At 41.9% G+C, this 14542-nt stretch overlaps 1 long non-coding RNA gene across 2 annotated transcripts, besides 4 other annotated features; it reads right to left on the bottom strand.

Annotated features, from left to right (window-relative positions):
• Positions 1021-2220: an enhancer, noted in NCBI's record as "P300/CBP strongly-dependent group 1 enhancer chr4:146975373-146976572 (GRCh37/hg19 assembly coordinates)". NCBI's record gives its function as "activates an origin of replication core promoter dependent on BRD2, BRD4, P300/CBP, MED14 and CDK7 cofactors, with strong dependence on P300/CBP, by STARR-seq in HCT116 cells {active_cell/tissue: HCT116}" and the evidence as "EXISTENCE:reporter gene assay evidence [ECO:0000049][PMID:35650434]".
• LOC105377468 (uncharacterized) lies at positions 1202-6797 on the bottom strand. 2 transcript variants are annotated; one of them, NR_188432.1, is made up of 4 exons: positions 6446-6797; positions 5864-6066; positions 4254-4409; positions 1202-3000 (listed from the first exon to the last, which is right to left on the bottom strand). It is a non-coding gene; the product is annotated as an uncharacterized LOC105377468 (long non-coding RNA). The 2 variants fall into 2 exon arrangements; NR_188434.1 differs by lacking the exons at positions 4254-4409; positions 6446-6797 and adding an exon at positions 3191-3260 and having other exon boundaries at positions 5864-6083.
• Positions 1558-1807: an enhancer, noted in NCBI's record as "active region_21975". NCBI's record gives its function as "activates an Ori minimal core promoter by ATAC-STARR-seq in GM12878 lymphoblastoid cells {active_cell/tissue: GM12878}" and the evidence as "EXISTENCE:reporter gene assay evidence [ECO:0000049][PMID:35858748]".
• Positions 6704-6923: an enhancer, noted in NCBI's record as "active region_21976". NCBI's record gives its function as "activates an Ori minimal core promoter by ATAC-STARR-seq in GM12878 lymphoblastoid cells {active_cell/tissue: GM12878}" and the evidence as "EXISTENCE:reporter gene assay evidence [ECO:0000049][PMID:35858748]".
• Positions 9780-9939: an enhancer, noted in NCBI's record as "active region_21977". NCBI's record gives its function as "activates an Ori minimal core promoter by ATAC-STARR-seq in GM12878 lymphoblastoid cells {active_cell/tissue: GM12878}" and the evidence as "EXISTENCE:reporter gene assay evidence [ECO:0000049][PMID:35858748]".

Raw genomic sequence — 14542 nt, forward strand, 5'->3', positions numbered from 1 at the left:
TCATCTCTCTCCAATTCCACTTCTTCTAGATTTCCCGAATCCTTGGCTAGCACTTCCACTAGTCATCATTGCTTGCTCAGTGTATGACCAGACCTTCATCTCTGAGTGGCTGGGCCTTGATTACCTTGCCCTTGTGAGGACATGGCTACTTCAATTGCTTCTCTGCTATTATCGCCAGACAAAGAAGCACTAAGGGGGGCCTGAGTGATTCCCCCAAGTTCTAGACATCTTCCTCCCTGGGCCCATTATGTAGCAGCAACTCCGACTCTTCAAGATAATCAGTCAGGTGTCCCTGCCAGTATAGTACTCCCATTTTTGCCTGCTGACCTGTCAGTATGGAGATGCCCAAATCCTCAGATGGCACTGCATTGATGCAGTGGAACACTTACTGTCTCCGTCTGTACACACACCTTGAGACCAAGGCTTTTAATCAGGAAGAGCCTAAAGTTGTAAGAATTAAAAACATAATTTCCACTAATGGGTGAAAGGGAGTGTGTTTAAGTCAGTCCTACTTGTATCCTTTAATTATCATTCCTGTGTATTCCAAATGCTGGGAAAACAGCACAGTGATTGCATATAGTGATCACTGGTTCAACAAATATGCTGTATCCTCGAGGACAATGACCTAGCCATGCAAGGTGCAATTCCTAAGCCAATGCCTTTTTAAGTCTTTAAAAGGCTATTCAGATACTCTCTCAGACCCCCGCAAAGTCAATAGTCTTCTGATACAATAGATCAGAGCATTATTCTCATGGGTAGTATTTATTATTGTTATTTTTTTGCCTCAGGAATTCAAAGCAGCTCACCAAGTGCTGTGCCTCTGTCTTAGTGGTAGGAAATGTAAAGTATTCTTTTGAGTAGGGTGTCTCAACATACCCCTGGATCTTTGGGCCCCTAAAATATTCCCTGATGTGGCAGACTTCCAAAACTTTGTAGGGCTTATCTCTCATTCCTTCAGCATGAAGTATTTAAAACCAGTATACTTGCTCCTTCCTAAAAACCAAGTTCAATTATTATTCTGTCATTAATATAATGGGCCAGGATGATGTTCTATAGAATGTGAAGATGATCAAGGTCACTGAAGACTATATTGTAACAGAAATGAGGATCATTGAACAAATTCCTAGGGCCAGGTAGTGAATGATAAAGAGAATGCATTCAACAAAAACAACAATCTTTGGCACTTAACGTGAGACTATTGAAAAAGTGGTTTGCATTCACAAGAGAAAGACAGAAGTGCACATTCACTATCAATATGAAGGATCTTGCTAAAGCAACCAGCTTACTTGCTCTTCATGTGGCTTTGCTTTCTTCCAGCATGGCAGCCTCAAGGTAGGTGGTCTTGTTATTTAGTAGCTCAATCTCACAGAGGCATATGTCCCCAGGAACAAGGCAGAAGCTGCATCACCTTTTATGACTCAGCTGTAAGAATCACACAGTGTCACTTCTGTACATTACAGGTCAAAGCAAGTAAAGTCCAGCTTAGATTCAAGGGCATTGAAATTAGGTTTCATCTCTTGGTAGAGGAGTGACAAGATTGCATTGTAGAAGAGCATTTGGGATGAGAGACATGGTTGCAGCCTTCTTTAGAAAATACAATCTGTCATATCTCTCACAGCAAGAAATGTGCTACCCTGCTCAGGGCATGCTGAGACTTGTTTCCAGTTTTTGGAATAGAGGCAATGAGGGCAGGAAGTAGCAGACCTTGAAGTAATCTTGGAGGTGTCTGCTTCAGAGGAGGACTGTGTAGAGTCTCTAGGCAAAGGGAAGCTGTTCTGTTCAAGTAACAGGGTGCAGGATACTCCTGCTAGCCTGGGTTGTTCAGGGAATCTAGGGGTTCAAGGTTATCTAGCACATCTATCCAGATGCCTGCCTGCATCCCAGTAGTTTTTAAGGACCATTTCCTTCCTCTAGGGCTTTGACTTTTGCATGAGAGGCCTGCCTGGACTGTGTCTTCAGTCTGCTCTGTAGTTCAATTCCTCTTGCAGTGAACCCCTGAATGTCATTTTTTTAGAACAGCCTGCCCTCTGGTTGCAGGAAATGGGGGTCTCTTCAGATTCTCCCAAGGAGACCTTCTGGCTTTCATTGCTATGCTCTGAATGGGTAGTTGGATGTTGTAAACCTATCTTTCTTTTTTCCCAATTCTTCTAGGGGAGTTAACAAGAACAAGACAACTCTTCAATTCCTGTGATTATCACAGCCCTATATCTTTCAGGAGTTAGCACTATTGCATAAGGTTAGCGTCTCCTTTCATTTTTACCTCATCCAAGTACACCATGGGTCAATTGTGGGTAATGAAATTCTTCAAAGTGCCAGGGTTTGTCACCACCTTACTCACCACCATTAATGGGGTTTTTGTTGCCTCCATACCATTGATAATATACTTTCTGTAGTCACTTCCAGTACCTATTATCTTAGTTTGAGTTCCTCCCAAATGAGACCTTGAGACAAAGCTTTGGATACAGGAGTTTATCTTGGAGAGTATCCCAGGTAGAACAAGTGAGTGAGTGTGCAAATTGAGAGGGGTGAAATGAAAATTGAGTTGGTGAATGAGTTTTTACTGTGGGCAACTTTGGTTCAATCCCATTTGGGACCTCTGAGGAACCAACCAGAATGCCTTATAATAGTCCCACCAAGGTATGGGACAGTTGCTATTAATCCACTGATCCTCATTCTTCATGGGTTGAGGGGTTTTCAGTCCCCAGCAGTTCCAGGATACCTTGTGAGTGTCGGGCAAGCTCTTGGTGTACTGGAGGAAATCCTCGGAGAAGCAGAATGAGGCAAGTGCTTGATAGGGGAAGACATCAGCATCCTTAGGAAGTGTTCACTGCAGCTGCAGGTCAACTCAGAGTCAAAGGGACATGAGGAAGGGCATCAAGATAGTCTACTACCTACTCCTCAGTAATTCACATGAAAAAATCAAGAGGCACTCCCTGTTAAACATTGTAGACTGAACACATGCGTTTATCACAACTCCATCCTGAAGCCTCTCTGAAATGACTGAAAAGGAATAAAAACAATCTTATAAAACCTGGAAGGATAAAGAGAACAGAAGAGGCAACAGCAGACAAGAGCTAGCAACAAAATGTTGGAAGACAGAAGGCAGACGGGTGAGTGGTAACGAAGTTAACAGAGCAGCAAGAAAGTTTGCTTTGCTGTGGAAAATATCAAAAAGCAAATGAATACCTACTGTACAACCCTGGAAAGGCTCAGAAACTGGAAATTGTTGTTACTTCTGTAGAAAGGGATGCAGGCTGGGGCTGAAAAAAAATGGGATTGGAGATGACCCCTCAGAATCCTTCTCCTCTTCTGTACACCAACCAGCCCAGCAGGCAACTGGTTTAATTTCTAGGGAAATAGAGCCAGGGATTTTCAGACCCAATGATACCATGTTTTGTAGAGGATAGGAGTAAGGCTGAAAAAGGATGATCAAGGTCAAGTCTACATGCCATATACTAATTAGTGAGACTCCCACCCTTTTTCCCTCACTTGCAGTTAGGGCACTGGCAACTAGATTTATATTCCCTAGGCAGGGAATTGGAAGAGTCCCCTTTGACAAAACCAACTGATTGGAGAAAAGACTTATATACTGACATTTTTAAGTCTCCCAGTGAAATGACCAGGTGCCTGACTGATTGCTCTCCAGTAAACAGTAGCAATTGACAAACACTGCAAATACACACAAAGCTTCCCATTTGCTTTTTAAGTGCCTCACTCTTAAGTGTGAACAATCAAGTATCACCAGACATGTGAGGAAAGTCTCCAACATAAAATATTAAAGATTAAAATAAACAAATAAATGAATAAAGGCAACTTGGAGTAACAAAAAGTGCAGTGAAAAGAACACTTAAACATATTATTGACCTCAAAAAAAAGATAAAATGTTACATCTGCAAAATAAGAATGTGTGGTTACATGAAAAAAGGAGTATGTAGAGCATAAGAAATCATTCTTGGTAAATGAAAATAGGGTAACAGAAATAACAGATTCAATAAAAGGGCTGGAAGGTAAGTCTTCAAGAAACTAAGTAAAAAGACAAAGGGATGGAAAAATGGAAGAGTCAAGTAAATCAGGTAATTGAACTAGGAGACCATCATTTACTAACAGGACTTTAAGAAAGACAAAATGTAGAAAACAGAGGGGAGAAATTATAAAAGAAAGGATTTTAAAACTTCCCTAGAACAGAAGGATAAGATTCTCCAGATTCATAGGCTCACGAGAACAAGTTCAACGAGCGAAAACTCCAAGCTTACCCTCACTCTCTCCAATATGCCCTTGTAGATGCTGTCATGGAATTTCTGCCAACTGAACATGCTCTCAGTGCCTTGACTTCTTTTTCTTCAATTATATAATTAATTTCCATCATTTCTTCAGCCAACTTCTTTCTTCCCATTGCTTAGATCCTAGAACTTATCATTACCAATGACTGCACTGATATTAACTTGATAATCTCAACTTCAAGCTTCCCACTTTCTGACCATAACCACTGATTTTTCCTGTTAGGTTGGTGCAAAAGTAAGGGCAAAACAAACAAACAAACAAAAAACCAAACAAACAAGAAAATTACTTTTGCACCAACCTAATAGTTTATTCCCACTAACATCCCAATTCCTAAAATATTTCTGGTCCTTTGGGACTGAAAATTAGTTAATCTGATGCCACCACCTTTTCACTGTCCCGCACTCACCTCGCGTCCTTACCCTGTGTAGATTCTACAGTCCATCAGTATAAATTCCCTTGCATACACTTTCAACTCTCTTGCCCTTCTCTCCTTTCATTGTATTTTCTTGAAAAGGACCCAGTCCTGGCTTAATTCAATTCCCCACACATGATGTTTGCACATGCCTGCAGCTTAATATGGCAGGAGAAAATACACATCCAAACCAGGCGGTCCTGATTTAAACTCGTTATCACTCACCTCCGGTGAGACTTTTGTGCTATTCAGCAATCCCACTACATCTTCCTAGTCTATTTACTGCCCCATTCTCCTTGTTTAGTTCCTCTCCCACCCTCCTAAATGACTATTTTGTATCTTTTCCTACAATATCTCCTTTTCCACCCTCATTTCAAGTTCATGCCCTTACCTCCAAATTCACTAAGAAAATTAAAGCAACCTGAAAATGCCCCTCCTCATTCCCATCACCACATTCACTTGCATCTGTTAGTGCACCCTGCGTGCTACAGTACACACATGTTCCATCCCCTGAGCTAAGACAATCCCTCTACTTATAGTCTTAGTTTCTTCCCCTTCCTTGAAAGTTTTAGTAATTGTACTTTGTCCCTTCTTTCCCTGTCTTTTATCAGTTTTTTCCTCCTCTCTTGGATCATTCTCACCAGCAAGTAAATGTGCTATATTATCTTCCATTGGAAAAATGAAAATCTTTTCCTTATATCATATCTCGACTCCCCTTCAGGACAAAATTTAAAGGACTGACTGCATTCACTGTCTCTAAGACCACTCCTCCACTTCCCTTTGAACTCACTTCAGTCATGTTTTCACTCTCACAGGTTGAGCTAGTCAAAAATCACTGATGACCTCCATGTTGCTAAGTCTCAGTCCTTATCTTACTTAATCAGTCAGCAGTTGATCATTCCCTTCTACTTGAGACAGTCTCTTGGCTTGCTTTCTACCTCCCTGACTACTCCTTCTCAATCTCCTTTGTGGATTCTTCCTCTGTTCCTTAATCTTTAATATATGGGCATGCCTCTGATCTCAATCCTCAGACCTCTTTTTTTTCTATGTTCACTAATTCCTCTGCCACCTCACTTGTTTTGTCAATATTTATAGGCTGATGACTTCAAAGCTTATATATCTAGCCAACACCCCTCCTCTTAGCCCCAGACTCCCATATCCAGCTACTACCTGTTTGGGATCTCCAAGCAGAGGTCTAATAGGTATTTCAAACTGCAATGTTCAAAACAGCTTCTGCTCTTCAGAGACGTCTCTATTTCAGCAATTCCTTCCTTCCATTTGTTCAGGATAAAAACATCAGTGTCATATTTAATTAACTCCTCTCTTCCTTTATCCTATATCATCATCATATGCTTTATAATCACTGGCATGTCCTGTTGGTTTCACATTTAAAAAAAAGCAGAAACGGAACACTTTTCAACACTTTCAACATCACTAACTGGAACCCCACTAGCTGGGTACAAGCCCATTATCACTTGCTTGACTTCCTGCAATCACCTCCTAGCTGGTCTCCCTCCTGCTGCCTTAGCCCACCAGTTTATTCTCAACACAGCAGCCAGTCTGATGCTTTAAACATATGATTTAGATCATGACACTTCTCTGCTCAAAACCCTTCATTGGCTCCCTAGCTTATTTAGGATAAAAGCCAGATCCTTATAAAAAACCTCCAAAGCCTGATATAATCGGCCACAGACTACTTCTTGCAATCCACATCTCACCTCTCTCCCCCTCACAAACCCTGGTCCAGCTTACCCAGACCATCTGTTCTTCCACAATGCCAGGCTTGCTTCTGCCCCACCCCAGGCTCTTTGCACTGGACATCCATGATCTGGAGTGCTCTTCCCTCAGCAGCCCATTCCTTCACTTCCTGAGGTATATTCTTATACTTCAAGTAACGAAACAAAAGAGCAGTGCCTTTAAAAATTTAAAAATTTGCTGGAAAATATTTCTAATCTATAATTCTCTTCATATCTAGATTATCAATCAAGTTTGAAGGTAGAAATTGCATTTTACAGCATGCAAGGTCTCCACAAATTTCCCTTCAATTTCTTTTTCCGGAAGCTCCTGGAGGATGTGCTCCACCAACATGACATAATAACCCAAGAAAGAGGAAACAGGGCATCCAACACGGAAGAGAGGCAAGGGGAATTCCCAGGGTGATGGTGACAGGAAGTCCTGGGGCCATAGCTGTGCATCCAACCTAGCAAGAGGACAGCAGGTGCAGGAGGAAGGTAGTCAAGGGTAAAGAATGACACTGAGAGATTGCCTGATGCATTTGTTCATGTGAAGGAGACCGATACAGTTTTGTAGAGCTTGGAGCTGATACATGAGAGTCACATAGAAAAGCAGTGGGGTGGTTTTCTGTAGGAAACAAAACAATTAGACAAGAAAAGATAAAACATGATCACATGCCCCAACTGTTAACAATATTTTCATGGTCATAAGAATGACTTCAACCAAAATTGTGTAGTAACCCTATTGGGACCATGTAAGGAGTACAGATGCTCCTTGATTTATGATAGGGTTACGTCCCAATAAAACCATCGTTAAGCAGAAAATATTGTAAGTCAAAAATGCATTTAATACACTAACCTACCAGGCGTCATAGCTTATTGTAGCCTGACCTGCCTTAAATGTGCTCAGAACACCTACATTAGCCTACAGTTGGGAAAATTACCTAACACAAAGCTTATTTTATAATAAAGTGGTGAATTTCTCATGTAATCTATTGAATACTGTACTGAATGTGAAAAACAGAATGATCATATAGGTACTCGAAGTGTGGTTTCTACTGAAATGTGTATTGCTTTCACACCATCATAAAGCAGAACAATTTAAAGTCAAACCATCATAAGTTGGGAACCATCTGTATAGTGTGCAAGGGGGATGGAGTAGAAAGAAAGCTGGAGACTCAACTTCCAGATTAGAAAGCTAATACATTATGTCTAAAAGCTTAAAGATAGAGGCATAGCAATGTAATAATGTTATTTAAGAATATGAAGGTAAATATAGAAGTGATGGCTGAAAGATTTGAAAATGTTTCCTCTGGGAGCAGAAATCAGGATAGAGAGGGGATGCTTTTTTCTCTTTTAAATTAAAGACTTATAATGATTGACTTTTGTAAACTAAGTACATGAATTTCTTTGCTAAAATTAAAATAAAATCAGAAATAAATAGAAAGAATAGTTCTCCAAACTACAATAAAAAAGAAAGTCATGAATCATACTTAATTTAACTGATATGTAAGTGGTATAAATTGCTCATACAGAAAAAACAAAAAAATTATTTTCAATTTGTTCTAACCCTGTGAACATCTTCTAACGTGTTCTACCTATATTTCTCTTTCCTTTTCTCTTTCCTTCCTTCCTCCTTCTTCCTTCCTTTCTTGGCTTTTCTTTTCTTCTTTCTCTTTCTCTCTCCTTTGTTTCTTTCTTTCTTTTTCTCTCTTTCTTTCTCTTTCTTCCTTTCTTTTTCTTTCTTTCCTTTCTTTCTTTCTTTCTTTCTTTCTTTCTTTCTTTCTTTCTTTCTTTCTTTCTTTCTTTCTTTCTTTCTTTCTTTCTTCTTTCCTTCTTTCTTTCTTTCTTCTTTTTTTGAGACACGGTCTAACTCTGTCACCTAGGCTGGGGCTCAGTGGCATCATTATAGCTCACTGCAGCCTTGACCTCCTAGACTTAAGTGATCCTTCTCCCTCAGCTTTCTGGGTATGTGGGACCACAGGTGTGCACTACCACACCCAGATAATTTATTTATTTATTTATTTATTTATTTATTTATTTATTTATTTATTTTGGTAGAAACAGGATCATCCTATGTTGCCCAGGCAGGTCTCAAACGCCTAGGCTCAAGCAATCAGTCCTCTTCAGCCTCCCAAAGTGGTGGGATTACAGATGTGAGGCAACGTGCCCAGCCTCTCCTTTCTTCTAGGAAGTATATCCCCTTTGTTTTACAGATTTGCTCCTTTTGCATTTGTGTTTAACTGTGGTAGCATCCCATCTCCTATACATAGGGGTTGGCATATGATTCCATCAAGCCAGTCTGAGTCCTGTCTTGAAAGTTTTTGAATTGAATAGAGGAATGGAGCTTTGTGAAAGCAACCCCAGAGCTGTCAGCAGGTATGTCTTCTGTGTGAAAAATCCTGTCTGCAGTAGATAGTAGGCAACAATGACTCAGGCACAGAAATCTGGGGAAGAAATAAAGAACGAACTTGAGAGTGGGAGAGAAATCTAGAACTGACAGCATTCAGGTTTCTGGTTCTGGTTGTCCCCAGCTACTTCCTTGCATATCTAGCTCACGAGCCAAGAAGCCCTCCTTTTCTGCTCATGCTGTTTCAGGTTGCATTTATAGCAACTTCTAAAAGCACAATGTACATGTGTGTCAAAGGCAGCACTACAACACACCTTTATTGTTCCCCTACTAAGTGTGGGGCATTAAGTGCTTGACACTGGGTCCATCCTCAAAGAATTTGAGAAATCAGGACACAAAGACAAATGGAATCCTGAGGAGCCTCAAGTGCAAGAGGAGCCATGTAAATAATGAGTGCATTCAGAGGGAGGAACAGTAATGGAGGAGTAGGGAACCAGATTAGAAAAGGAGGTGGCCTTGGAAGGGAGAGGAGAGAAACGGGAAGTGTATTCTAGGCAGGGAGACAATGAGAGCTGGGGTTGCAAACTCAAAAGCTTACTAGTGCTGCAGGGCAGGGTGGCTCATGCTTATAGTCCCAGCTACTTAGAAGGCTGAGAAGGATGATTGCTTGAGCCCAGGAGTTTGAGGCTCTAGTGAGCTATAATCGTGCCACTGCACTCCAGCCTGGGAAACAGAGTGAGACCCTGTCTCCAAAGAAAGAAAAAAGAAAAAAAATTTAAAAGCTTACTAGAGCCATGCATCACATGAGTCAGGCTGGGGTGGTTGTGGGGAGCACGTGTTCCATTTGCACAGGGCTCCTGCGCCCAACAATGAATGCTGCCAGGGGAGGGCCCAGTCTTACCAGGACTTCCAATTTTTCAGGAAAAGTGAGAAATCTAAATTTTGTTGTGAAATTGGTGATGTTTAAATGTTGACAAGAATTTGTAAAAATCAAAACACTATATGAGCCAAACATACCATGTCTATTGGCTGGCTCTGGGTAGTGGTCCTTGGGTGAAAGACTGATGCTGTAAGCAAAGGCAGGGCAGAGGAAACATGTGATTGTGTTTCTAAAAAGAAGACTGGGAGCAGACGGTTGTATTGAAGAATAGTAGAAAAGTTTGGAGAGTTAGATGGGGGCTTTGAGCCCTGTTAACAGGTTATTCAAGAGACATGTGTGCAGAGAAATATTTTAGGAAGATATATTTGGTAGCTGGGTGAAGGATGAGTCAGACATGGAAAAGACTAGAATACTGTTTTATTTAAAGACATGATTTTAAGGGTTTGGTACTTTTGTGGTTTTTTTAAACTGTAAAATGGGGTCAAAGTTATTCTCATGTGAAACTGTAAGGTTTTCCTCCTTTAAGTCTGAAGCAGAACTGATCTTTCTGTTAACCTCCTGACAGAGCAATATTGGAACAACAGGGGACTCAGTGGGGAGATGGAGGGGAAGGCTTTCACTGTGCAACACTTGGAGTAGAGTCTAACCACATTCTTGCTGGACATTGCTATACTCTCCCCCCAAAGTCTCTCTTTGATCTCCATCCACTGAGTCTCCTTCCCTCTCAACTCTGTCCCCCACCATCACTACCTATTTAATCCTCCCCACCAGTGGAGTTGCAGCAGCCATGGAGCTGAGCTATCTAAATGCCCCTTCCAAAGTAAATCTTCCATGAGTTCAGTCAGCCTTCAGTCTCCAGCTGTAGTACCTTTGGGATTTGCCATAGGGTGCACACCGAGGTCATGCTCCCCATGGGCTGTTCCCAGTCAATAACTGAGCAGGCAGGGGTACTAGAGCTCATCATTTTTGCCCAACGTGGGACTCTTCTAATGGCCAATATTTACTCTGAGGTTCCCCATTGTACTGGCTGATTTTCTCAGACTGCACTTCAGTTGGAGCCTCTTCTTATCCAACCCTTCTTCCTTCCTCATTTCCTTTCACAGATGTCAGAGCCTACTTCTGCTCCCTCATCCCTTTACCTTTCACAGCTGTTTTGTCCAATAAATCTTTTGCCCTTCTAATTCCATCTTGGCATCAGCTTCCCAGACAACCGAACTGGAACCAGGATTAATCCAAGAAGGCAGGTAGTCAAAGAGGTTTGGGGACAGGATCACTCACTTTCTGGCTAGTAAGGTAGATCTCCTCTGGAATGGAATGTGGGGCATGGATAATCTTTGGCACAAGATGGTGGCCTAATTGCTAAAACTTTCATTGGTGGTGATTCGGGACATCAGGCCTTCAAAAATTATGAGGGGAACAGTGTGTACAAAGACAATGGACTTGATGGGATTTTACTAATTTGTTTTATGCCCTGCAAAGGGATTATGACAAATGAACACTAAAAACTATGTGTGAAAAACCAAAAGCCATTTTAAAAAATGGGAAGACCTGACAGATGCCAAATATTGGGAGGAGGCTTCAATAGCTCCCAAACAAGAGATATGGATGGCAAATAGGCACATGGAAAGATGCTCAATATCATGAATTATTAGAAAAATGCAAAATCGAATAAAATATCACCATATATGTATTATAGTTTTGATGGCAAAAATTTAAACTACAGATAGCACAAAGTCCTGACGAAGATGTGTAACAAATGTAACTCTCATAGATCACTGGTGGGAATGCAAAATGGTACAGCTATTTTGTCAGTTTGGCAGTGTTTTTAAATTATCTGAAACATACACATTATCATGTAACCCAACAATCCCATTCCTGGCTATTTACTCAGGATAAATGAAAGCATAACTTCACACAAAGACCTGAATGTGAAAGTTTATACAAGTTTTATTCATAATTACCCAAACCTGGAACAACCCAAATGTCCACCTAATGAGGAATGGATAAACAAATTGTGATGCATCTATACTATTAAAAACAAAAGGGAATGAACTACTGATGCATGCAGCAACATGAATGACTCTCAAATGTGTTAAAATGAAAAGAGGCAGGTGCAAAAGACCTCATGAATGATTCCATTTATGTGATACTTTTAAAAAGTCACAGAGACAGAAATCAGAACCATGGTTGCCAGGGGCTGGGGTTGGCAAGAAGATTAATTAAAAAGGAGCATCATGAAGGAATTTTTTGGGGTGATGCTTATGTTCCTTATCTCAACTGTGGTGGTTGTTACACTAATATATACATTTTTCAAAAACTGATCAAACTATACATCTAAATTTTACTATATGTAGATTTTATCTTAATAAACCTGTGTTTAAAAAATAAGTATGAAAGACAAAGGTCCTTCTTCGTAGCTTTCAAAGCATCCCTTGTCTTCAGAAGTGCAAAGTGGGCATAGCTGAGGTATGAAGTCAACATTTAATAGAGTTGCAGAACTACAAAGACAATGAATGATCAGCCAAGGCAGGTCTGCTATGCTAAGGTCAGGGCCCTAGCTGAGAAAAGCAGGGACCCTGAAACATGGAATACAGACATCTGGGTGAAGAACCCCTGAAGACAGTGACCCTGCAAACTCCCAAGCCATTAGAGGCTACAGAAGTGTCCCATCTCCCACAAGTTTAGAGCTTTGCCCAGAAAGGAGGACACTGCAGAGGCCTATTTTCTTCAACACAACAAGAGTCTCCTTGGTTTACTACCTCTTCTCTTAGTGCCAGATGGATAAACATGGTTAAACCCCAGCACCCCACTTCTGAGGACATGCTGTGCCTGATAAGGGAAGAGAAAGATTACATCCCAAAAAGGCTGGAAGAATTAGCCACCACGGACTGGCAGAAGCCAAGGGAAGTACTCCCGGGATTTGATGTTGAGGGTGTTTGATCAAAGAGGCCAGGATATAAGACTGGAAAAGCAAGACGTTTTAGTCTCGGGACACTGTGGAACATTGGATTTAACACTCTGTCGAGGATCTTAGGAGATAGGCAAATTTACGGCTGGGTGGTTCTCAGAAACATGAAGAAAGTGATGACCCTGCCAGAAAGAATTTTCCAAGGAAGAGGCACTGAATAAGCAAGTAGACAAAAATGACTTGGACAGCCAATATTATCCAGGCTTTGTCATTGGCTACCCCAGAATTAGCATGACCTGCACATGAATGAAGCTGCCATGGAAGCAGAGATGGGTCCAACAGCATGAACTCCCATGATCTAGCTATGGCTGCCTCCAAATGTCCAATCTTCCAACAATAGATACCAATACTGATCCTGCAATATGGCGCTATCTCTTGAGGAAACCAAATTGTCATTTGGTGACAAGTTGACTACATTAGGTCCCTTTTATCATGGGAGGGCCAGTGATTAATTCTTATTAGAATAGGTAGCTATACTGGTAAAAGTTTGCATTTCTTGCCTTCGGAGGCTCAGCCTGCTAAGCTTCCTATCTGAGAGTTTATGGAACGTCTGTTCCACAGGCATGGAATCCCACATAACATAACATCTAACAGGATACCTACTTCACACTAAAGGAAACCCTTGACCATGGGGCCAACTTGTTCTACCACAAGCCACATCATCCAGAAGCAGCCAGCCTCAAAGAGCACTGGAATAACCTTCTAATGGCCCAACTTCAGCACCAGCACAGACACAATACTCTGTAAGAGTGGGTATCATTCTCCAGGATGCAGTTTATGCACTGAACCAGAGACTTGTGGAGGTCTGTCCTCAGGTATGGAGCTGTGTCGCCATTGAGAAGTATGCATGGACCCAGGAACCACGGGGCACGAATACCTTCTTTTCTACCATCTTCTCATCCATTCCAATGACTCACAGGGGTCATTTCACTTCATGGCTGCACAACTGTGGGGGCTGTGGGGTTAGAGCTCCTGGTCCTCAAAGTGGGTGCACTCTAGCCAGGCAGAAAAGCCAGAGTTCCATTAAACACAAAATTAAGGCAGCCTTCCAGGGCACCTTGGGCTCTTTGTGTCCAGAGACCAGCAAGTTAGAAATGACCATCCTGGCAGGAGTAATCGATCTCGATCAGCAAGAGGAGGTAAGAACATTTTTATATAATGGACAGAGTCATTGCGTACATATAGAGCTCAGGTAACCTACTTGGGTGCCTCTTAGTAGTCCCATGCCCACTTGCAGTGTGAAGGGACCCCCTTGTATAGCAACTTTGGCCAGAGATTACTAGGGCTCAGCCCCTGCAGTAATGTGATCTGGAACACATCACCAAGTAAGCCTCCAAGACTTGCAGAGGTAATAGCCAAGGGTAAAGGGTAGTTGGAATAAACAGTGGAGAAGAGAGAAAATGTGTGCCGCTTGCAACTCCAAAACTAATCGCAGTGATGGGGGCTGAGGTTCATCTGACCTCCCTCTTCTGAGCTTATCCTCAGGAAGCAAAGCTCACAGTAACTGTGGAGGAGCAGCCCCCGATCATGCATGGAGAGGTAGCTCACACAGAGTGAACTGCAGTGGTCCTGGATTTGTGCCATTCAGAACTCCCTTCAAGAGAAAGCCTGTTGCGAGGAGTGTGGTTAGCTTACAGCCTCCAGCTGCAGAACCTTCTGGACCCTGTGCAACATGCACACATACTCATAAACACTGAAACCATGTTCTCTTAAAAGATTGAGCATGGTGGGGATACTAGAGCCTGGCCATTCCTGCCCAACGCAGGACTCCTCTCACAGGAACTCCTTGCTCTGTAGTTTCTTCTTGAGTAGGCTGACTTTCCGAGAGCTGTACCACAGTGAGAGGGTGAGGGTAGGCTCTTCTCACCCTTCTCTCCTTCCTTCTCACAGTCTAAAGTGTTCCCTGCCTGCTGTTGCT

Source organism: Homo sapiens, chromosome 4 (assembly GCF_000001405.40).
Source record: "Homo sapiens chromosome 4, GRCh38.p14 Primary Assembly".
Lineage (NCBI taxonomy): Eukaryota > Metazoa > Chordata > Mammalia > Primates > Hominidae > Homo > Homo sapiens.